Source organism: Homo sapiens, chromosome 6, assembly GCF_000001405.40.
Source record: "Homo sapiens chromosome 6, GRCh38.p14 Primary Assembly".
Taxonomy (NCBI): Eukaryota; Metazoa; Chordata; class Mammalia; order Primates; family Hominidae; genus Homo; species Homo sapiens.
This window is the reverse complement of record NC_000006.12, coordinates 31,021,596-31,045,281: the sequence shown is the minus strand read 5'-3', so window position 1 is coordinate 31,045,281 and position 23,686 is coordinate 31,021,596. Positions and strand designations below refer to the sequence as shown.

The window sequence follows — 23,686 nt, the reverse complement described above, 5'->3', positions numbered from 1 at the left end:
TATAGTGGACCCAGGGCAGGGGGGTTGTAGTGATTCCACTGGGAGGTGTGGTTGGTCCAGGGAGCGTGGTCACGGTGATTCTGCTGGATAATGTGGTTGATCCTGGAGGGGTGGTCATGGTGATTCCACTGGAAGGTGTGGTTGGTCCAGGGCAGTGTTCACAGTAATTTCGCTGGATGGTGTGGTTGATCCTGGAGGGGTGGTCACAGTGATTCCACTGGAAGGTGGGGTTAATCTGGGGGGATGATCGTGGTGATTTCACTGGAAGTTACAGCTGGTTAAGAAAGGGTGGCTGGTTGGCTCCACTGGAAATTTGGTTTTGTTCACCACTACCGCTACTATGAGTAATACTAGTGATAATAATAGTGGCTGTCATTTAAGAATGCTCACTATATTCCAGGCACTGTGCTAAGTGCCACATATAAATTAGTACTAAAATCCTTACAATACCTCCTTGAGATAGAAACTAATATTACCCCCATTTTATAGATAGGTAAATTGAGGTTTAGAGAAGTTAAGCAGCTAGTTCCAGGTCAGACAGTTAGTAGGTAGTGGAACAACGATTTAAATCAAGGCAGTCTGACCCCAGAGCCAGCCCCTAAAGCCCTTAACCCATGCATTATTCCATATCCCAGGTATGGGGGAGTTACAAGACCAGGGTTTACAGGGGATGGTGTTATTCTTTTAACTATTCATGATACTCTCCGACTAAAGAACGTAAGAGAAAAGTTGAAGGCCCATCAAGCTCCTCTCCAAACAGTATTGTGCCCTTCCTCTAGGGGGCAGATAATCAAGCGGAATCGGTTTGGGAGGGGACCATGATGTGCATTTTTACTACATCGGGTAATTCTTCTGAACACAAAAGTTTGGGGCTGGGCGCAGTGGCTCACACCTGTAATCCCAGCACTTTGGGAGGCCAAGACAGGAGGATCACTTGAGGCCAGGAGTCTCGACCAGCCTGGACAACATGGAGAAACCCTGTCTCTACTACACATACAAAAAAATTAGACAAGCATGGTGGTGCACACCTGTAATCCCAGCTACTCGGGAGGTTGAGGCACGAGAATCGCTTGAGCCTGGAAGGTGGAGGTTGCAATGAGCTGAGAGCACGCCACTGCACTCCAGCCTGGGCGACGGAGCAAGACTCTGTCTCAAAAAAAAAAAATAGTTTGGGAGCCACTGGTTTAAGGGACCCCAGATGGTCTTGACACATGGACTAGTAAAGAATCAGTCATGTCAGCTTGAAGAAATAAGATCTTCTGGGATTCAGGAAAGTGGCTCAGCTTTCTTGTTGGATCAGTTAGAGTTAAGGTGAGACTGAGCTTCTTTCCCTGTCATGCCTATTTTCTACCCTGTTCTGATTTTCCATCCCATTAACAACCAAGCCCTTGACCTCCCAGATCCCTATAGACCCTCTCCTCATCGATGGCCCTGTTCTCTCCCTGGATGTAGGTGCTGCCCTTCACCCTCCACATATGTTCTTGCCTTGGTGTTGTCTGGACTAACATAAGGATTGCCAATTTAGATTTGAGGGAAGAATCCCAAAACTGTGTGTCGATGCCTTAGGTTAGGGTCAGAGCCAAGAGAGAAACTAAGTGAGAAGTTGAGATGAAAAGCTGGCCTGTGGAGAGGGAATAGACTGGTTTTGTGTTGGTCAGGGGCATAAAACACAAGAGTCAAAGCCATGCTGGGGCAGATTCTAGAGAGAATTAAATCTGCGTGAGTGTGGAACAGCAATGTCTCATGAAGTGTTTAATTAGAGGCTAGATGACTGCTGTCAGAGACGCTGGAAATAGATCCCTGCCTATTACGGGTGGTCAGACACTAATTCAAGTTCTCTTCCAACTCTAATGCGCCTATATCTGGGAATGATGTATTATAGAGTAAATAGGTCCATCTTCTGGGCAGAAGAGTTGCCACTGAGAACAGAACGGAGGACAGATGCTGGGTTGCATTGGAGAGAAAGAAGCAAAATAATCATCCCTCCTGCCTTGAAGAGAATGGGGGCAACAAGGACAGAGTGTGTGTCCCAGAAGTTGTCAACACTTTCCCCAAACTCTACTCAAACTCCAAGATTATTCTCTTTTAAACAAAATCACTCACCATTTCCTAAAAGTAGAAGGAAGTGAAACAGCCAGCATGCAAGGGAAAATTGCTTTCTCTTTCTTTTGAGATAGTCTGCCTGTGTGAGGCTGGAAGGGAAGGCTCCTCCCTTAGTCCCGATGGGATTAAGCCTTAGAAGGGAAAGGCAGAAAATGAGAATCTTGAGGGTGGAGTCTCAAGGTGGAGATCTGAGGGCTGGACTACTAGGAATTCGGAACTCCAAAGAATAGGTCCTCAATCTGAAGAGAAGCACCGCTAGGGGGACCTGGGCTGCAGGGGAAGCTGGATGTCTGGTCCTTGATGTTCCTTCACAGAATGCCACCTCTTCTTTTTCTCTTTCAAAGAAGGCCTTTAGGGCGGGTACAGTGGCTCATGCCTGTAATCCCAGAACTTTGGGAGGCCAAGATAGGCAGATTACGAGGTCAGTAGTTCGAGACCAGCCTGGCCAACATAGTGAAACGCCATCACTACTAAAAATACAAAAATTAGCTTGGTGTGGTGGCACATGCCTGTAGTCCCAGTTGCTTGGGAGGCTGAGGCGGGAGAATCGCTTGAGCCCAGGAGGCAGAGGTTGCAGTGAGCTGAGACCACGCCATTGCACTCCAGCCTGGGCAACAGAGTGAGACTCCATCTCAAAAAAAAAAAAAAAAAAAAAGGAAGAAGAAGAAGGCCTTTAAAGCATCATCTGGACTGGGCAAGGCCTGGACATGTAGGCTGTTGTTCTTCCAGCTGTGAGCAGTGGCAGAATCCCCAAGCTTAGAGAGGAGGGTACAGCAGCCAGAAGGTAGGTGAGGGTGGAGGATGACTTAGTCCCATTAGGAAGGGCCTGGGGAGGAGTGGGAAGTGGAATAGTTCAAGGGCCTGGGCAACAGAGCAAGACCCTGTCTCAAAAAAACAGAAAACAGGCCGGGCACGGTGGCTCGCGCCTGTAATCCCAGCACTTTGGGAGGCTGAGGCGGGTGGATCACAAGGTCAGGAGATCGAGACCATCCTGGCTAACACAGTGAAACCCTGTCTCTACGAAAAATACAAAACAATTAGCAGGGCGTGGTGGCGGGCGCCTGTAGTCCCAGCTACTCGGGAGGCTGAGGCAGGAGAATGGCGTGAACCTGGGAAGCGGAGCTTGTAGTGAGCCGAGATCGCGCCACTGCACTCCAGCCTGGGTGACAGAGCGAGACTCAGTCTCAAACAAACAAACAGACAAACAAACAAAACAGAAAACAAAAAAACTCTCATGGAGTCTAGCCCCAGGTTTTTTTCATGACCTGCGAATGAAGGAACTGGAAGCCAATTACCCCGTTCCCATATTTGTTTTCTGCCGCTCCTTCAGTTGTCTTTGGGCTCTCTCTGTTGGCCTCAGCCAGAGTTGAAGCAAGCTTGGACTGTAAGCTCTCAGTCCCCAGGCAAACTGACAGTGTCCAAAGTGTAGGTACTTCCTTGATCATCTGGCTTGTCTGGCACACAGCACTGATGAGAAGACCTAGCTGAAGCTCCCCGGTGGAAAAGCTTCTATAAATTCTTCAAAAACAAAAGGGGAGCGCCTCTATCAAGGAGGATTAGAAGCAGGAGCATTCCTCTTTCCAGTGCCATCACTCTCCTTAGGTCCCCTGCAGCGTGTGTGCTGGTAAATGTTTAACAACTCACTTCTCGTGGTGCAAATGCACCCGCCAGAGCTGACTGCGTGTGACCAGCGTGAATCACTGTGTATAGAATGGGAAGCAATGGGCGGCACACCACCTTTTCGAGTGGTTTTATAAACATCTACTTCTTGTACTAAATCCTTTTATGCTTGAAATATCCAAAGTGGTTTCTGTTTTCATAAGTGAACTCTGACTGTTACAGTATTTGGTATAACAAGAGGTTTCAGAAAATTGACGTTCAAAGGTGGCAATCTGGGATTGGTTCCCTGACCCATTAGGCTTGAGGGCAGGGGCGACCTCATGCTAGTATAAAATGAAGTCTTTGTATTACACAGCAAAAGATAGAAAAAGTGACTTAAGTTATCACCTGTGGTGGTGCCTGGAATAAAGCAATTGTTGAAGGGAAGGGCCGGGAGCCCAGGTGGTCGCTGTGACAGATCGTGAAGCTGGGAGTGTTGACTGCCGGGACTGTGGGTGGCTGCACTGGGAGATTACAGGAAAAAAATGACCCCTCTGCTGCATCCTCAGTCAAGGCATTGCCAGCGAACACAGAGCTTTCTCTGAATATTCTAAAAGACATGCTTATCTCTCAAAGCCACAGGGACTATGTATGAAAAAACCAGACCCACAGTTTGATTCTGCAGATTGGAGAATTATATTCAACTTGCATTTATATCTTTGCCAGTCTCGTGTGTGACATTTGGAATATTTGTTAACGGAAGCCCAGAATTGGAGTGGAGACACCTGGGTAGATTTTGATGAGTCTGAAAAACTTTGAACCTCCAAATCCCGCAGAGCTTTCCTTGCCAGCAGAAGTAGCCCCTCCTCCCCTCTGTGAGGAAGTCACTTTCTCTTGCCTGAAGACCCTATAGTGACGCCCTCACAGCACTCCCTTGGCAAGGGGACACAGATTTTCCTCAGGCCCTGTATTAGTTTCTTATTGCTGCGTGACAAATTACCACAAATTCAGGCTGAAGATAGCACAAATATATTATCTTGCAGTTCTGGAGATCGGAAGTTTAAAATAGGTTTTACTGGGCTAAAGTCAAGGTGTCAGCTGGTCTGTGGTCCTTCTGGAGGCTCTAGAGAAGAATCTGTTTACTCACCTTTTCCACCGCTAGAGGCTTCCAGCACTCCTTGGTTTGTGGCCCCTTCTTCCATCTTCAAAGCTTGCATCGCAGCATCTTCAAATCTCTCTGACTCTGACTCCTGTCTCCCTCTTTTTTTTTTTTTTTTTGAGATTGAGTCTTGCCCTGTTGCCCAGGCTAGAGTGCAGTGGTGCAATCTTGGCTCACTGCAACCTCCACCTCCTGGGTTCAAGCCATTCTCCTGCCTCAGCCCCCTGAGAGGCTGGGATTACAGGCACCCACCACTACACCCGGCTACATTTTGTATTTTTAGTAGAGACAGGGTTTCATCATCTTGACCAGGCTGGTCTCGAACTCCTGACCTCGTGATCTACCCTCCTCAGCCTCCCTAAGTGCTGAGATTACAGGTGTGAGTCACTGCGCCCGGCCTCTCATCTCCCTCTTATAAGGACCTTTGTGATCACATTGGGCCCATACAGATAATCCAGGATAATCTCCCCATTACAAGATCCTTAATGCGATCATGCATGCAGAGTCCCTTTTGCCATATAAAGTAACATATTTCCAGGTTCTGGGAATTGAAACGTGGATGTTTTTGAGGGGCTGTTATTCTGCCTACCACAGGCCCTATTACAATGCCCCTCGTGGCCTCCAGCTCCATGCGTTGAGTCAGATCTAGGGGCTGAAAACAACCATAGATGACAGTGAGCAAGGAAACAGGGGCCTCAACTCTAAACACAAGGAACTGGACTCTGCCACAACCACGTGAGCTTGAAAGAGATGCCAGCCTCCAGATGAGGATGCAGCTCAACTAACACCTTCATTTTAACCTGTGAGACTGAGCAAAGGAGTCAGTCATGCTGGCCCCAGACCCGCCTCATAGAACTGTGGTCTGATAAATGGGTGTTGGTTTAAGCTGCTGCATTTGTAGTAAGTTATCACTGATAGAAAACAAATACATGGGTGAACTTATCACATGTTCTAGATTCAAAACATTAGCTCAAGTAGGTGTGAGTTGCACTAATAGTTCTCTCGGTTGCTTGAAATGTGGACTTAGTGGTGGCCTACACTAAATAAAGTTGAGATCCCAGTATTTCATTAGTATAAGCGGAAGAAAAAAATCAAAAGACTTAGGAAGAGAGTTATGTTGGAATGGATTTAATATGTGCAACTTGCTCACTCACTCTTTCATTACGTCCTCCCAGAAGGTTCCATTGAAACTGTCTTCATCAAGGCATTAGAAGGGAGAGGACCAGCATCGTTGAAAAGCTCTGTAGCAGCTCTTTGCTAAATGCAATGGTGGATGATCTGACCATTGAAATGAGCTTCCTGATTTCAGTGGGCATGGTGGAATCTTCAGGAAACAGTAGGTAGGTGGTAGGGCTTTCCCTCCAGAGACAAGACAGGCATGATTATCGATGTGGGCATCACGACCAGAGCTGTAATCAGGGCTCTTTGGCTATGGCTAATTAATCATTAATCAATTAACCACTAAAATCTTACTTGATCTATATAAGTGAAAATATCCAGGTGGTTGAACAGAGAGCTGACTTGAGTTGCCACAGACTCTCACCTAATTCCCAGGCCCGAACCTGTTCACAGACCTAGAAATGAAGGGAAGGCAGCAAGATCCACCACCACCACCAGGATGTGCCGCGAATCTTCCTCCTAGCTTTCAAAAGGAATCTCAGCCATTTATCATCGTGACAGTGCAATGGGGAAATGAAAACACCCAAACCTTTAGGGTAACATACAAGACATCATTGCGATCTACAAGTCAGGGTGGAGCTTATGGGGCTTAGAACATAAATGACGTGGCCGGGCACAGTGGTTCATGCCGGCAATCCTAGCACTTTGTGGGGCCAAGGCAGGTGGATTACTTGAGGTCAGAAGTTTGAGACCAGCCTGACCAACAAGGTAAAAACCTGGCTCTACTAAAGATACGAAAATTAGCCAGGCATGGTGGCAGGCGCCTGTAGTTCCACCTACTCGAGAGGTTGAGACAGGAGAATCGCTTGAACCCGGGAGGCGGGAGGCGGAGGTTGCAGTGAGCCAAGATCGTGCCACTATTCCAGCCTGGGCGACAGAGCAAGACTCCATCTCAAAAAAAAAAGAACATAAATAACATCTTACTCAAAGTTCATCTCTAGGCTCCGTCTGCGCATATTTCCCCACTTTCAAGTGGGAACCAAAGCAAGGCCATAAGGCTGCTTGAGACATTGCTGACTAGATCCAATGTTGCCTAAAATGTCTGTGGTACATCAGAAAGCTGTGTGGAGACACTGGGTAGCTAGTAGAAGAGCCACGGCACAGGTCCCCAGAGTTTTGGAGCAAAAGCAAGCCCTCTTCCACATCCTAGCATCTGACTTAATCTTGGGTCCTCAGCATGCGAGGGTTCATGAAACATGAGCTGCCCTTTATGAACTGGGTGTTGTCTGCACCACCACACTAGACTGGGCATACTTAGCAGTGCTCACCTCCTTGAATGGAAGTGGTGCCTGCGAATTTGGCTGAGTTAGTTCCTCAAGGCACAAGTAAGAGGCATGAGTAGGCAGCTGTAACTCCAGTGGCATCTCCAGCTACATTCCTAACCTCTCTCTCCATAATCACAGTCACATGAAGGGTTTCCTATGTCTAGTTGACTGAGAAAGGAAAGATTTGGTTTCCTCTGGTGTGTGGGTGGTTCTGCATGCTATTCTAACACCACAGAGAGCAGGCTGCTGCAGCATTACCACCCCACTCACGGCAGCCCTGCAGGACAGTGGGGAAGGAAAATTCTCCCAGTGATCCGAATTGTAAAGAATGCATCTGCTTTGTTTACTTTGCCTGGGCAAAGAGATGACCAGTTACAGTTAACCCTGATCAATAGGCAGTGGCTAACAGTTTGGCTAGATAACTCAGGGTGAGGAAAGACATGGTGAATTGATGACAAGGAAGTCTGGGAAAGAGGAAGGTGGACGAGTCTCTTGGGAAGGGCACAGATGGTGAGAGTATGTGCATCCCATGTGACTGTTCACCAATGGGCGTTCACTACAGAGGAAATCTTCCATGATGAGGTTGACCAAGCGATCCATTCTGCAGACGTCAGCCAATCTCTTTTTCCAGCTGCTCTAGTGCTCGCTCAGCAGGGACATGGACAAAGCAGACAGGCTGGCAGGGATGAAGCGTATGCAAGGCTCAGTGAGCTGGCCTTCCCCTCACCAAGGCCAAGCTGGACAGATAATCCATGGCTGAGTGCCTCAACTGCTAACAGCAGAGATCAGTGTTGGCCCCGTTATGTGGCACCATTCTCCAGAGAGAATGGCAGATTAATTATATCAGACCTATTTCAACCTAAAGAGAGAGGTGATTTGTCCTCATTGAAAATAGCTGCTTGCCTCCCTTGCACACAATGCTTCCTGCAGCACCACTGTCTTTGGGCTTACCAAATGCCTCATTTATCGTCATGTGTCTCCAACCACATTCTCTGACCAAGGAAATCATAATATGCTGAGAAAATAGCCTCAGAATATCTTTTTCATTTTTCAAATTGAGACATAACTTACATACCATAAAGTGCACAGATCTCATGTGCACATTTTAATGAAGTTTTACATATCTATACACCCTTGTAATCACCACCCAGATCATACACAGAACATTCTCAGCTTCCCCTGTCTGCCCCTGCAAGAAGGCTTTCTCATGCCTTCTCCCGGTCAGCCTTTTCCCCCAAGGCATCCTCAACTCTGACCTTTATTACAACAGGTTAATGTCACATGGCCTTGAACTGCATGTGAATGGAATTATACAGTAGGTACACTTTTGTTTTGACTTCTTTTACTCAACACTGACTATGAGATTCATTAATGTTATTGTGTGATTTCATAGGTTTTTTTTTTCACTACTGGGTAGCATTCCACTGCATGAATATGTCACAATTTACTTACCTGTTCTAATGTTAGTGGACTTTGGGGTTAAATTTCCACCCTGCAGTGGTATGAATGAAGCTGGCATGGTACATGTCTTTTGGTGGACACAGGTATTCATTTCTGCTGGATATTTACTCTCAGGAGTGGAAGTACCGAGTCATAGGGTATGTGTTTAATTTTAGCATTGCCAAACATTTTCCCAAGATAATTGTATCAATTTACACTCCCACTAACAATGTGTGAGAGTTCCAGTTGTTCAATGTCCTTTCCAATACTTGGTACTGGCAGTCTTTCAAATGCTAGTCATTACAGTGTGTGTATGTAGTGGTATCTCATTGCGGTTTTACATTCCACTTCTGATAAGCAGTGATATTGGGTACCTTTTCAAATGTTCACCGGCTGTTTTGATATCCTCTTTTGCTAACTATTTATCAAATATTTTGCCCAATTTAAAATTGCATCATCTTTTTCTTATTGTAGCTCTTTCTGCATTCTGGATATGAGTCGTTTGTTAGCTATATGTGTTGCAATATCTTCTCCCATCTTTGACTTTCCTTTTATAGTTAAGAATATACCTCTTAAAGGTATATGCTGATACTAGGCTTTAATGAAGTCCAAATCATCACACTTTCTTTTAATAGCTAGTGCTTTTTGTGTCTTGCTTAAGTATCTAAGTATCTTTGCCTACCTCAAGGTCACCAAGATATTTTCTGAGGATTAAATGATGACCTTTTTTTTTTTTTTGAGACAGAGTCTTCCTCTGTCGCCCAGGCTGGAGTGCAGTGGCACAATCTCGCCTCACTGCAACCTCCACCTCCCAGATTCAACCGATTCTCCTGCCTCAGCATCCCGAGTAGCTGGGATTATAGGCACTCGCCACCACGCCTGGCTGATTTTTGTATTTATTTAGTAGAGACGGGGTTTCACCATGTTGGCCAGGCTGGTCTCGAACTCCTGACCTCAAGTGATCCACCCGCATTGGCCTCCCAAAGTGCTGGGATTACAGGCGTGAGCCACCACACCCAGCCAAATGATGACGTATTTAAAGGCTCCTGGGATAGTGATTGGTACATAATAAGCACTCAAAAAAAAAAAAAAAAAACAAAACCTGAAAGAACAAACAGGAAAACGAATACGTGTGTGGCCCTGATAATACATTCATTATGTGCTTTTGTTTCTTAGACATGTCTTGGTAATATTTATAGCACCATGAGGAAACACAGGGATGAGAAACGTTGACCCTGATGTGGCGGGAAATGGGAGAGAAGATGTCCTGAGGGTGGTTGTCGTGACTCCCCACAACAGAGGCTGAGACTCAGGAAAAACTCACAGAAGCTTTGACTTGAAGTCCCCTCCAAGCCAGTCAAAGTCTCTGAGGTCCTTTTGCTGGTTCTTTTCTTGACCTAGTCCATGTCCATCTCCATGGATCACATCCTGGGAAGCTTCCTATGCTCCATTTTAATTATTTCATGATCATTATTTTTTTCTCCTCCATGACCCCCTCCCACCCATAATATGTTTTGATACCCAATCTATGGCCACAGCCATCTTGTCCTGCCGTGGCCTCCTTGGTGGCTCCCTCTGTGATCCACTCCATGGTGTCCTCAGTGGCCTCCTCCATGTCCATAATGCCCGCCATGATTCACTCCGTAGCCATCTCCATGGATGTGGCTCAGTCCATGGCCCACTCCATATCCAAAGCCGTGTGTTCCTCCATGTCCCATTTCAAGTTCTCCTCCATGAACCAGTGCATTTCCCAGGCTGTGGAATGTCCCAGAGCCCAGGCCCAAGTTCAGGTCCAGACCAAGGCTGTGGCTGTGGCCATGGGGGTAATAAATACCACAATATCTCAGGGGGAAGAAAAGGTTTCTCTAAAAGAAAAAAATAAATACATTGATAAATGAAAATTAAGTCTCCTCTCCCTAATCACCATACATGCCTGTTTCACCAATGTCAGATTTTCACTTTTCCAAACTGCCCATGTTCTCTTCTCTTTACCACCATCCTTACTATGATCTCTGTCTCTGTCTCTCTTTTTCCTTGTTCTTTTACTCTTTCTCCGTCTGACAAAATAAGCTTCCTTGTTACCTTATTAACATATCATCTTTATGTGCGTACTCAGGCCCTAGCTCTGCAGATCATAAGGTTATGTGTTTTTGGACTTCCAAGACAAAGGTAAATCCATACCCCTATGTGAAAGGCACAGAGACTCACTTTACAGACAGTCTTTCTCTTTGTTAGTCAGCTAAGAAAGCTCAGAACAGGTACGTGGAATTGAGAGCTCTAGAAAGCTGTCTACACAGAGCCTTGAGATTATAGGCATGAACTCCAGAATCCAACTAACCTGAGTTAGAGTCTTATATCTGCCACTCACTACATGTGCTGGGGCAAATAGCTAAGATCATGAAGCTCCAGATCCCTTACTTGTAAGATGAATATAATATGGCCACGGGATTGTAGGCCAGATTAAATAACATTATGCATTTTAAACATTCAGCCTTGAGCCTAGCAGGCAGTAAAAACTCAATGTTCACTTTCGTTATTCTCTCTTGATCTTGCAAATGAAATAATAAAGTAATTTAGGGAGTAATTCTTAGATGCTGGTATTTATTATGTAGTCCACATACGGAGAGAGGCTGAGAATTCTAAAACAAAGAACCTCAGCAAATTGACTATATTATCCAAATCTTTTGTGACTTCCGTATTTTTCATTTTGTCCATTTTTACCAGTGGTATGCTGTCCAACACTTAATAACAGGCTCTCCGAGGGAAAAGTGCTGATTTGTAGTGTTTGACAATTGCTGTGGTGTAAGTATTTCCAACCCAGCATATTTTAAGCTACCAGTGTCACATCACTCAGCTCAGAATTGGGAAGAACTGCACAATCTCTTGTGGGCCAGGATGAGCCAGCTCCAGCACACCACTGATTTATACTCTGCTTCACTCCTCAAATGGTAACTTACCCGCAGGATCACAAGAAAACAGGAAGAACATCAATAAATGTGAAATCGATGTAAGAAAAATATGTATTCAAAGAACAATCAAGACCAGAGAGCAGAGATGGAGTGGGAGGTCAGAGAGTAACAGTCACAGGCCACACAAGGAATTGCTGTGAGGACCAGAAATTTGTCATACATGAGACAATCGGAAGCCCGCATTTTGGATGGCTGAACATTTTTATGCTTCTTTCTTTTCTCTATTTCTCTCTCTCTTTCTTTCCTTCTTTCTTTTTTCTTTCTCTTTCTCTCTCAGTTTCTTTCTTTCTTTCTTCCTTTCTTTCTCTTTCTTGCTTTCTTCCTTTCTTCCTCATTCTTTCTCTTTTTCTCTCTCTCTCTCCTTCCTTCCTTCCTACCTTTCTTTTCTTTCTTCCTTCCTTTCGAGACAGGATCTTGCTCTGTCACTCAGGCTGGAGTGCAGTGGCACGATCTCTGCTCACTGCAACCTCCATCTCCCAGGTTCAAGCAATTCTCGTGCCTCAGCCTCCAAAGTAGCTGGGACTACAGGTCCATGCTACCACTCTCGACTAATTTTTGTATTTTTAGTAAAGACAAGTTTCACCATGTTGGCCAGGCTGGTCTCAAATGCCTGGACTCAAGTGATCCGCCCTCCTTGGCCTTCCAAAGTGCTGGAATTACAGGGGTGAGCCACTGCGCCCAGCTGCTTCTTGCTTTCTTTATGTTTATGTCCTCCTTGTTCTCTCTCAGTATTTCCCTTGTTCTGTCAGTATTTCCCTTCACTTTGGCCCCAACTCCATCTTTTCCCTCCTCTTTTTCTACTTTGCTTCTCACTTTCTCTGACTTAAGCATTCTCTCTGGTCCTTATATCAGGCTAGGTGATTCTTTCCTTCTGAGCGCACCAACTTACTCCCCTTTCTCATTCTGGATTTTTCCAAAGCACTGCTGACATGATTCCCCCCTGCCTTCTTGCCAGGCTCCCCTATGAACCCACCCTGGGTACTCACCAGACAAAAACTCAGTCCTACTGACAATCCAACAGCAGCCACAACTGCAGCCAGGGAAATGAGGATGATAGCCCAGGGCTGTAAATATCCACTTGGTTTGATCACGTTTGTGGGTGTGTGGCTCATGCTAACTGTGTTTGTGCCCATGGACACCGGGCCTGTTTCCTGGAAGGTGCTGCTGGTTGGCTCACGGGTGGATCCTGTGGTGGTCCTGACGCCGTGGGCTGAGGTGGTAGATGATGCTCCCATAGTGGATGTACCCAGGCCAGAGGTGTTTAAGACTATTCCTGGCACAGTATGGCTGGCAGCAGAGGCCGTGAAGTCCATTCCAGGGGCCATGGTGACAGAGCTGGAGGCAGTGAGTCTGGTTCCAGTGGTTCTGGTGCCTATGAAACAGGTCACACAAGATGATGCATTTGTAGCAGAGATGATTAAAGGGGAATGGGGGTGCTTAGACCAGAGGAGGGTGAATCTAACAAACCTATGGTGGAGGTGGCTCAGGAGAGGTGTGGTGGGGGAGGAGAGATGGTAGAAAGCGATTCTGCTGTGGCCATGTCCCCAGAATGCAGGTGGGTGTCATACAGAGAAGGAGGTAGAATGTGTCACCTGGTGGAGTTGGTGATGGAGGAGGCAGAAGTTTGAGGAAACGTTATCGCGATGGGTTCAGAAGTGGAAGATCTATTTGACTTCAGAAGTGGCCACCCAAATAGAAGAGGGTGGGCTGATAAAAATGAATGAATTAACAGCATTTGCAGTGACCTGGATGAGATTTTAGACTATTCTTCTAAGTGAAGTAACTCAGGAATGGAAAACCGAACATCGTATGTTCTCACTGATATGTGGGAGCTAAGCTATGGAAATACGAAGACATAAGAATGATGCAATGGACTTTGGGGACTTTGGGGGAAGAGTGGGAGGGGGCGAGGGATAAAAGACTTCAAATATGGTGCAGTGTATACTACTAGGGTGATGGGTGCACCAAAATCTCACAAATCACCACTAAAGAACTTATTCATATAACCAAATACCACCTGCATCCCAATAACTTATGGAAAAAATTGAAAATAAATAAATCAAAGCAGATCAAATAAGTGGGTGGGCTGGTATACAAAGCGGCAGGCCCTGCTTCTTTTGTGACTGTGATCACTGGGTGTAAGGAGGGAGCTGGAGGAGGAGATGGTAGAATTGGATTCACTCATGGGCATGCCAGTGGCCGTGGCTGGGACAGAGGTGACATCATCTACCACACTGTGGTGATCAGCAAAGGTGAGGTGAGTGTGCTTGGGCAGATGTAGGAGGACCTGACCCAAGTGGAGAAGGCTGCTCACAGGGATAGGAGAGGGTGGGCTCAGACAGGTGTGAGCACGAATCAACACAGCAGAGGCGGTGGTGGCGGCTTAGGTAGCGATGGGTGTGCCTAGGTCAGAAGTGGTTAAAATGGGATCACAAACAGCACCAGTCATGAGAATAGAAGTGAGTATGCTTAGAACCAAGAGGATAGAATCAGATGTAACCGGCTTGCTGATGGCAAGTGCCAGAGAATGAACAAAATTGTTTGGTCTCAGACTGGAGCAAAGGTTGCCAAATTTTTTCTGTAAAGGTCCAAACAGCAAATAATTTAGGCTTTTGGGCCAGGCTGTCTCTGTTGCAAATACACGGAAAAGCAGAAAAGCAGCTGGAGACAAACCATAAATGAATGGGCATGACTATGTTCCAGTAAAACTTTACAAAACCAGGTAACAGGTGAGACTTGACCCATGAAATGTGGTCTGCCAGCCTCTGGTCTAGAGTCAATACATTGATAGGAGGTGGCAGTGTCACAGATGGTTGGTTGAATAGAGATAATCTACTTGGCACCGAAGTGGGAGCATTTCACAAAACTGTGATGGGCCAGTAGAGTTGAGGCGGGCTTGCTGGAGGAAGATGTGACAGATATGATGCACTTGTGGTTTACTATATTGTGGTTCTGATTGCAATGGAAGTGGTGGGCACTTAAAAAAAAAGAGGTGAGACCAGAGTAGAGGCAATTAGGATTCCAGAAGAGGACATTTTTTTTTTTTTTTTTGAGACGGAGTCTCGCTCTGTCGCCCAGGCTGGAATGCAATGGCGCGATCTCTGCTCACTGCAAGCTCCACCTCCCGGATTCACATCATTCTCCTGCCTCAGCCTTCCGAGTAGCTGGGACTACAGGTGCCCGCCACCACGCCCAGCTAATTTTTTGTATTTTTAGTAGAGACTGGATTTCACCGTGTTAGCCAGGATGGTCTCAATCTCCTGATCTCGTGATTCGCTCGCCTCAGCCTTCCAATGTGCTGGGATTACAGGCATGAGCCACCGCGCCCAGCCTAGAAGAGGAAATTATATCTAACTGTGTGCTGGCTTGACTTGAACCAGGGCAGAGATGATAGAAACAGGTGAACAGCTGGTGGTTGCCACTGGAGTTAAAATGTGTGGGCTCAAAGAAGACATGGGGGTTAGTACCTGACATAGGTGTGTTGGTGATGGGCTGGATAGAAACGTCAGTGGCCTTGGTGAGTACAAACGTGGTGGAAGAGACAGTGGTGGAGGCTGCAGTGGCCCCAGAAGCTGTGATAGAGACTGTGGTGGTCTCAGAGCCTGTGAGGGAAGTTGCAGTGGGCTCCAAGCTTGCAGTGGAAGCTATGGTGCTCTCAGAGCCTATGATGAAGGCAGTGTTGGTCTCAGAGCCTGCACTGGAGGGTGTGGAGGTCTCAGAACCTGTGGTACAGGCTGTGTTGGTCTCAGAGCCTGAAGTGGAGGCTGTGGTGGTCTCAGAGCCTGCAGTGGAGGCTGTGGTGGTCTCAGAGCCTGCAGTGGAGGCTGTGGTGGTCTCAGAGCCTTCAGTAGAGGTGGTGGTGGCCTCAGAGCCTGCAGCAGAGGATGTGGTGGCCTCAGAGCCTATGGTAGAGACTGTGGTGGTCTCAGAGACTGTGGTAAAGACTGTAGTCATCTCAGAGCCTGTGGTAGAGGCTGTGGTGGTCTCAGAGCTAGTGGTAGAAACTGTAGTGGCCTCAGAGCCTTCAGTAGAGGCGGTGGTAGTCTTAGAGCCTGTGATATAGACTGTTGTGGTCTCAGAGCCTGCGGTAGAGGCTGTGGTGGTCCCAGAGCCTGAGGTGGAGACTGTGGTGGTCTCCAAATCTGCGGTAGAGGCTGTGGTGGTCTCAGAGCCCGTGGTAGAGACTGTGGTTGTCTCAGAGCCTTCAGTAGAGGTGGTGGTAGTCTCAGAGCCTGTGGTATAGACTGCTGTGGTCTCAGAACCTGCAGTAGTGACTGTAGTGGTCTCTGAACCTTCAGTAGAGGTGATGGTAGTCTCAGTGCCTGTGGTAGAGACTGTGGTGGTCTCAGAGCCTGTGGAGGAGACTGTAGTGGTCTCAGAGCCTTCAATAGAGGCTGTGGTGGTCTCAGAGCCTGCAGTAGAGACTGTGGTGGTCTCTGAGCCTGCAGTAGAGGCCGTGGTGGTCTCAGAGCCCATAGTAGTGACTGTAGTGGTCTCAGAGCCTTCAGCAGAGACTGTGATGGTCTCAGAGCCTGTGGTAGAAACTGTAGTGAGCTCAGAGCCTTCAGTAGAGGCTGTGGTGGTCTCAGAGCCTTCAGTAGAGGCTGTGGTGGTCTCAGAGCCTGTGGTAGAAACTGTAGTGATCTCAGAGCCTTCAGTAGAGGCTGTGGTGGTCTCAGAGCCTTCAGTAGAGGTGGTGGTAGTCTCAGAGCCTTCAGTAGAGGCTGTGGTGGTCTCAGAGCCTATGGTAGTGGCTGTAGTGGTCTCAGAGCTTTCAGTAGAGGCTGTGGTGGTCTCAGAGCCTTCAGTAGAGGCTGTAGTGGTCTCAGAGCCTTCAGTAGAGGTGGTGGTGGTGGTCTCAGAGCCTGCTGTAGAGGCTGGGATGGTCTCAGAGCCTGCAGTGGAGACTGTGGTGGTCTCAGAGGCTGTGGTAGAGGCTATGGTGGTCTCAGAGTTTTCAGTGAAGACTGTGGTCATTTTAGAGCTTGCAGTGGAGACCTTGGTGGTCTCAGAGCCTATGGTAGAGGCCATAGTGGTCTCAGAGCCCATGATGGATGCCATGGTGGTCTCAGAGCTTGTAGTAGAGGCTGTGGTGGTCTCAGAGCCTGTAGTAGAGGCTGAGGTGGTCTCGGAGCCTTCAGTAGAGGCTGTGGTGGTCTCGGAGCCTTCAGTAGAGGCTGTGGTGGTCTCAGAGCCTGTGATGGAGGCTGTAGTAATCTCAGAGCCTTCAGTAGAAGTGGTGGTGGTCTCTGAACCTGTGGTAGAAACTTTAGTGGTCTCAGAGCCTGTGATGGAGACTGTAGTGGTCCCAGAGCCTTCAGTAGAGACTGTGGTCTCAGAGCCTGTGGCAGATACTGTAGTGGTCTCAGAGCCTTCAGTAGAGGTGATGGTCCTCTCAGAGCCTGTGGTAGAGACCATGGTGGTCTCAGAGTCTGTGGTGGAGACTGTAGTGGTCTCAGAGCCTTCAGTAGAGGCTGTGGTGGTCTCAGAGCTTGTAGTAGAGGCTGTGGTGGTCTCAGAGCCTGTAGTAGAGGCTGAGGTGGTCTCAGAATCTGCAGTAGATGCTGTGGTGTTCTCAGAATCTGCAGTAGAGACTGTGGTGGTCTCAGAGCCTGCAGTGGAGGCTGCAGTGGTCCCAGAGCCTTCAGTAGAGTCTGTGGTGGTCTCAGCACCTGTGGTGGAGACTGTAGTCATCTCAGAGCCTTCAGTGGAAGTGGTGGTGGTCTCCAAGCCTGTGGTGGAAACTGTAGTGGTCTCAGAGCCTGTGGTGGAGACTGTAGTGTTCTCAGAGCCTTCAGTAGAGACTGTGGTCATCTCAGAGCCTGTGGCAGAGACTGCAGTGGTCTCAGAGCCTTCAGTAGAGGCTGTGGTGGTGTCAGAGCCTATGGTAAAGACTGTGGTGGTCTCCAAGCCTGTATTAGAGGCTGTGGTGGTCTCAGAGCCTGTAGTATAGGCTGTTTTGGTCTCAGAGCCTGCGGTAGTGACTGTAGTGGTCTCAGAACCTTCAGTAGAAGCTGTGGTGGTCTCAGAGTCTGAAGTAGAGGCTATTGTGATCTCAGAGCCTTCAGTAGAGGCTGTAGTGGTCTCAAAGACTGTGGTGGAGACTGCAGTCATCTCAGAGCCTTCAGTACAGGTGGTGGTGGTCTCTGAGTCTGTGATAGAAACTGTAGTGGTCTCAGAGCCTGTGGTGGAGACTGTAGTGGCCTCAGAGCCTTCAGTGGAAGCTGTGGTGGTCTCAGAGCCTTCAGTAGAGGCTGTGGTGGTCTCAGAGCCTGTGGTAGAATCTGTGCTGGTCTCAGAGCCCATGATGGAGGCTGTGGTGGTCTCAGAGCCTGTGGTAGAGACTGTGGTGGTCTCAGAGCCTACGGTAGAGGCTCTGATTGTCTCAGAGCCTGCAGCAAAGACTGTGGTCACCTCAGAGCTTGCAGTGGAGACCTTGGTGGTCTCAGGGCCTATGGTAGAGGCCATAGTGGTCTCAGAGCCCATGGTGGATGCCATGGTAGGCTCAGAGCCTGTAGTAGAGGCTGCGGTTGTCTCAAACCCTGTAGTAGAGGCTGTGGTAGTCTTAGAATCTTCAGTAAATGCTGTGTTGGTTTCAGAATCTTCAGTAGAGGCTGCAGTGGTCTCAGAGCCTGCAGTGGAGACTGTGGTCTCAGAGCCTGCAGTTGAGACTTTGGTGGTCTCAGAGCCCATGGTGGAGGCTGCAGTCGTCTCAGAATGTGCAGTAGAGGCTGTTGTGGTCTCAGAGCCTGTGGTGGAGACTGTAGTGGTCTCAGAGCCTGCAGTAGAGACTGTGGTGGTCTCTGAGCCTGCAGTAGAGGGTGTGATGGTTTCCGAGCCTGCAGTGAAGACTGTGGTCATCTCAGAGCCTGTGGTAGAGGCTGCAGTGGTCTCAGAATCTGCAGTATAGGCTGTGGTGGTCTCAGAGCCCACGGTGGAGACTGTGGTGGTCTCAGAGCCTGCAGTAGAGGTGACGGTGGTCTCAGAGCTTGTAGTAGAGTTTGTGGTGGTCTCTGAGCCCATGGCAGAGACCATGGTGGTCTCAGTGCCTGTGATAGAGACTGTAGTGGTCTCAGAGCCTGCAGTGGAGACGGTGGTCTCAGAGCCTGCCATAGAAGCTGTGGTGGTCCCAGAGCCTGCACTAGAGACTGTGGTGTTCTCGGATCCTGCCGTAGAGGTGGTGGTGATCTCAGAACCTGAAATAGAGACTATGGTGGTCTGAGAGCCTGTGGGGGAGGGGGTGGTGGTCTCAGAACCTGCTGTAGAGGCTGTGGTGGTCTCAGAGGCTTTAATCAGGATTGTAGTGGTCTCAGAGCCTGTGGTAGAGGCTGTGGTGGTGTTAGAGCCTGCAGCGGGGGCCACAGTGGTCTCAGAGCTCATGCTGGATGCCGTGATCACCTTGGAGTCTGCAGTTGAGGTTGTGGTGGCCTCAGAGCCTGCCATGGAGGTGGAGGTAGTGGTGGTCTCAGAACCTGCAGTAGATGCTGTGGTGGTTTCAGAGCCTGTGGTAGAGACTTTAGTGGCCTCAGAGCTTGCAGTGGAGGTGGTGGTGGTCTCAGAGCCTGTGGTAGAGACTGTGGCAGTCTCAGAGCCTGTGGTGGAGGCCATGGTGGTCTCAGAAATTATGGAGGAGGCCATCGTTTTCTCAGAGCCTGCAGTGGAGGTTGTGCTGGAGGCCATGGTAGTCTCAGGGACTGTAGTGGAGGCTATAGTAAAGGTTGTTGTGGTCCCAGAGACTGTGGTGGAGGCCACGATAGTTTCAGAGCCTGCAGTGGAGCCTGTGGTTGTGTCAGAGCCTGTGGTGAAGGTCCTAGTGGAGGCTATAGTAGTCCCTGAGTCTGTGGTGGAGGCCGTGTTGGTCTCAGAGCCTGTGGTGAAGGCTGCAGTAGAAGCCATGGTGGAGGCTGAGGTTGTCTCAGAGCCTGTGGTAGAGTCTGTGGTGATCTTAGAGCCTGTAGTTAAGGCCGAAGTAGAGGCCATGGTGGAGGCCATGGTGGTCTCAGAGCCTGTGATGGAGGCTGTGGTGGTGTCGGAGCCTTTTGTGAAGGCTGTGGTATTCTCAGAGCCTGAGGTGGAGAACAAATAAGGTGGTGGGAATGGGTTAAAGATGAATTTGCAGGTTTAGTATAGTGTTACTTTCACATATACTCAGTACTTCTTATTCATTTATTTATTCAGTTATTGAGGGCTTAACATGTACCTGGTATTTTACTAAACTCTGGGCATACTCCTGTCAGCAAAAGGGATATGGGCTTATAATTTAGTAAAGAAGAGAGCTACAACATAAAATATAAATACACATTGGCTTAAGTGCTGTTAAAGAAAGCAGTGGTGCTGCTTTAGATACTGGAGTCAGAAAAGGTCTCTCTGAGGAACTGACATATGAACTGAGATCTGAAGGATAAGAAGGCAGCCATTTGGGCTGGGCGCAGTGGCTCAAGCCTGTAATCCCAGGCGGATCACCTGAGGCCGGGAGTTCAAGACCAGCCTGACCAATATGGAGAAACCCCATCTCTACTAAAAATACAAAATTAGCCAGGCATGGTGGCGCATGCCTATAATCCCAGCTATTCAGGAGGCTGAGGCAGGAGAATCACTTGAACCGGAAGGCGGAGGTTGCAGTGAGCCAAGATTGCACCACTGCACTCCAGCCTGGCCAACAAGGGCAAAACTCCATCTTAAAAAAAAAAAAAAAAAAGAAGGCAGCAATTTGAAAGGCCAGGAGAAGGACATCACAGATTGATAGCATAAGTACAAATACCCTGAGTTGTTAATGAGCTCGATGTGATTCATGAATAAATAGGAGACCAGGGTGGCTGGAATGTAGTTACTGAAGGAGAAAACGAGGCGGTAGAGAGACCTTTTCTAACCATAATCTCTGAAGCAGGACCCCTGCCTTTTTAACAACACATAACCCAAAGGTGTATTTACATTCTTTATATTCTAAACTCTTCTTTACAAGAACATAAGCCCACATTTCTTTTGCTGACAGGGGTATACTCAGAGTTTAGCAAAATACCATGGTAGAAAGGTTAAATTTCATCTCAAATACAATGAAGACCCACTGGAATAACATACTCTGGTTAATTTCTCTTTGTTTTTATTTTGAAAAAAAAAATCACAAATTCTTTTGTAACAAGTATAACACAAAGAACCCTTTTCCCTGAATCTGTCTCATTATCCTTCAATACTTTATATATTCTCATACGCAACCATAATACAGCCATCAAGATCAAGAAATTCACATGAATATATTGCTGCCACCTGATCCTTAGATCCCTTTCAAGTTTTGTTAGTTGTTCTAATAATGTCTTTAATAGTAAACCAGTTCAATTCAGAATCGTGTGTTGTTTTTCGTTGTTCTGTCTCTTTAGTCTTCTTCAGTCTGGTGCAGTTCTTCAGTCTTCCTTTGATCTTCATAACTTTTAACCTTTGAAGATTACAGGTCAATTATTTTATAGAATTTTCCTTAAACTGAGTTTTTGTAATGTTTCATCATGATTAGGCTCATGTTATTAATCTTTGCCAGGAAAACCACTGAAGTGATGCTGTATTCTTCTCTTTGCATACTATCAGGTGACAGATAATATCAATGTGTCCCATCATTGATGATGTTCTCTTGGATTACTTGATTAAGAAGGTGTATCCAGGCTGGTTTTTCTCCCTTTGTAGTTAGTAAATATTGTGTTGTGATTATAATTATGAAATGTCTCTCTTTATCCCTAATAATATACCTCTTCTTAAGCCTATTTTGTCTGATTTTGAAATAGTCACTCAATTTTTTTCTAAATTGATGTTAGCATGGCTAACATACAGTATGGCCGTATCTTTCTTCCTCTTATTTTTATCCTATTGTTTACCCTATTTGTAGTTATAGTTAGTTAAAATGTATTTCTTGGTTGAATATTATTTATTTGGGGCTTTCTTTTTTAACCAATGTGTCAATCTCTGCCTTTTAATTGTGGTGTCTGGACCATATACATTTAATGTAATTATAAATACGTTGGGTCTGATTCTTTTTTAGAGACAGAGTCTTGCTCTGTCACTCAGGCTATAATGCAGTGGCACAATCACGGCTGACTGCAGCCTTGACTTTCTAAGCTCAAGAAATCCTCCTGCCTCAGCCTCCGAACTATCTAGGATCACAGGCACGAGTCATGATGCCTGGCTAATTACTTTTTAATTTTTATTTCTTGTAAAGATGGGGTCTCCCTATGTTGCCTGGGCTTGTCTCGAACTCCTGGGCTCAAGTAATCTTCCTGCCTCAGCCCCAAAAAGTGCTGGAATTACAAGTGTGAACCACTGTAGCTGGCCCTGAATTTAATAGTCTTCATATTTGTTTTCTATTTTTCTCGTCTGATCTTCTTACCTTTTCCTCCATTTTTCGCCTTTTTTTTTTTTAATTAACCCAGTATTTTGTTTTTTGTTTTGTTTTGTTTTTTGAGCGTCTTGATCTGTCACTCAGGCTGGAGTGCAGTGATGGGATCTCAGCTCACTGCCAATTCCACTTCCCAGGTTCAAGTGATTCTCCTGCCTCGGCCTCCTGAGTAGCTGGAACCACAGGCATGCGCCACCACGCCCAGCTAATTTTTGTATTTTTAGTAGAGACAGGGTTTCACCACGTTGCCCAGGCTGGTCTCTAACTCCTGGCCTCAAGTGATCCACCTGCCTCAGCCTCCCAAAGGGCTAGGATTACAGGCATAAACCGCTGCACCATGACCTGAGTCATTTTTGACCCCATTTTATTTCCACCATTAGCTTATTAAATATCATTCTTATTTGTGTGCCTTTGCTCTAGGATTTACGATATACACCTTTATCACTGTCTACCTCCCAGTGAGCTCATTCCTCTTCCTGTAAAGGCATGAGAGTCTCAACACAGTACACTTCCATTTCCTTTTTCTATCCCTTGTACCACTGTTGTCATACATTTTATGTCTACATATAAGCCTCATAATTCATTATTACTCAAGTATATTATCTTTTAAAATTTAAATGAAAAAAATTTTATTTTTACCCATATATTTATCATTTCCAGCACACTTCATTCTTTTTTGCATAGATCTAAATTTTTTCTTCCTGAAGAACTTTTACATTTAAAAAAAAATGTCAGTCTTGCCTGTCGATTCACGCCTGTAATCCCAGCATTTTGGGAAGCAGAGGCAGGCAGATCACCAGGAGTTCGATACCAGCCTAACCAAAATTGAGAACCCCCATCTGTACTAAAAATACAAAATTAGCCAGGCATGGTGTGGCTAATTACATGCCTGTAATCCCAGCTACTCGAGAAGCTGAGGCAGGAAAATCGCTTGAACCCAGTGTGTCTGGAATTGGTGGGTTCTTGGTCTCACTGACTTCAAGAATGAAGCCACAGACCCTCACAGTGAGTGTTACAGCTCTTAAGGTGGCATGTCTGGAGTTTGCTCCTTCTGATGTTCAGATGTGTTCGGAGTTTCTTCCTTCTGGTGGGTTTGTGCTCTCGCTGGCTCATGAGTGAAGCTGCAAACCTTCACAGTGAGTGTTAGCAACTCTTAAGCCCATGCGTGTGGAATTGTTCCTTCCTCTCAGTGGGCTCGTGGGCTCGCTGGCTTCAGGAGTGAAGCTGCAGACCTTTACGGTGAGTGTTACAGATCATAAAAACAGTGTAGACCCAAAAAGTGAGCAGTAGCAAAATCTATTGCAAAGAGCAAAAGAACAAAGTTTCCACAGTGTGGAAAACGACCCAAGCAGGTTGCCACTGCTGGCTCGGGCAGCCTGCTTTTATTCTCTTATCTGGCCCCACCCACATCCTGCTGATTGGTAGAGCCGAGTGGTCTGTTTTGACAGGGTGCTGATTGGTGCGTTTACAATCCCTGAGCTACATACAAAGGTTCTCCACGTCCCCATCAGATTAGTTAGATACAGAATATGGACACAGAGGTCCTCCAAGGCCCCTCCAGAGCAGCTAGATACAGAGTGTCGATTGGTGCACT

The 23,686-nt window shown here is 46.9% G+C and overlaps 1 protein-coding gene across 3 annotated transcripts in view, besides 2 other annotated features; it reads right to left on the bottom strand.

Moving 5' to 3' along the window:
• Window positions 7,216-7,510: a silencer, noted in NCBI's record as "tiled region #1306; K562 Repressive non-DNase unmatched - State 21:Repr". NCBI's record gives its function as "represses a minimal TATA promoter and a strong SV40 promoter by Sharpr-MPRA in K562 cells {active_cell/tissue: K562}" and the evidence as "EXISTENCE:reporter gene assay evidence [ECO:0000049][PMID:27701403]".
• Window positions 9,880-23,686, bottom strand: part of MUC22 (mucin 22) — a 29,451-nt gene continuing 15,644 nt past the window's right edge. For all 3 annotated transcript variants that reach the window (NM_001198815.1, NM_001318484.1, NM_001395414.1), the window contains 3 exons: window positions 15,182-19,780; window positions 12,701-13,086; window positions 9,880-10,610 (listed from right to left, as the gene is read on the bottom strand). In NM_001198815.1, coding sequence (NP_001185744.1) covers window positions 10,344-10,610; window positions 12,701-13,086; window positions 15,182-19,780 — 5,252 coding nt within the window. In that variant the 3' untranslated portion in view covers window positions 9,880-10,343. The remainder of the gene's footprint in view (window positions 10,611-12,700; window positions 13,087-15,181; window positions 19,781-23,686) is intronic.
• Window positions 15,348-15,848: an enhancer, noted in NCBI's record as "H3K27ac hESC enhancer chr6:30997211-30997711 (GRCh37/hg19 assembly coordinates)". NCBI's record gives its function as "activates a minimal SCP1, AML or CMV promoter by ChIP-STARR-seq in primed H9 embryonic stem cells {active_cell/tissue: H9 hESC(primed)}" and the evidence as "EXISTENCE:reporter gene assay evidence [ECO:0000049][PMID:30033119]".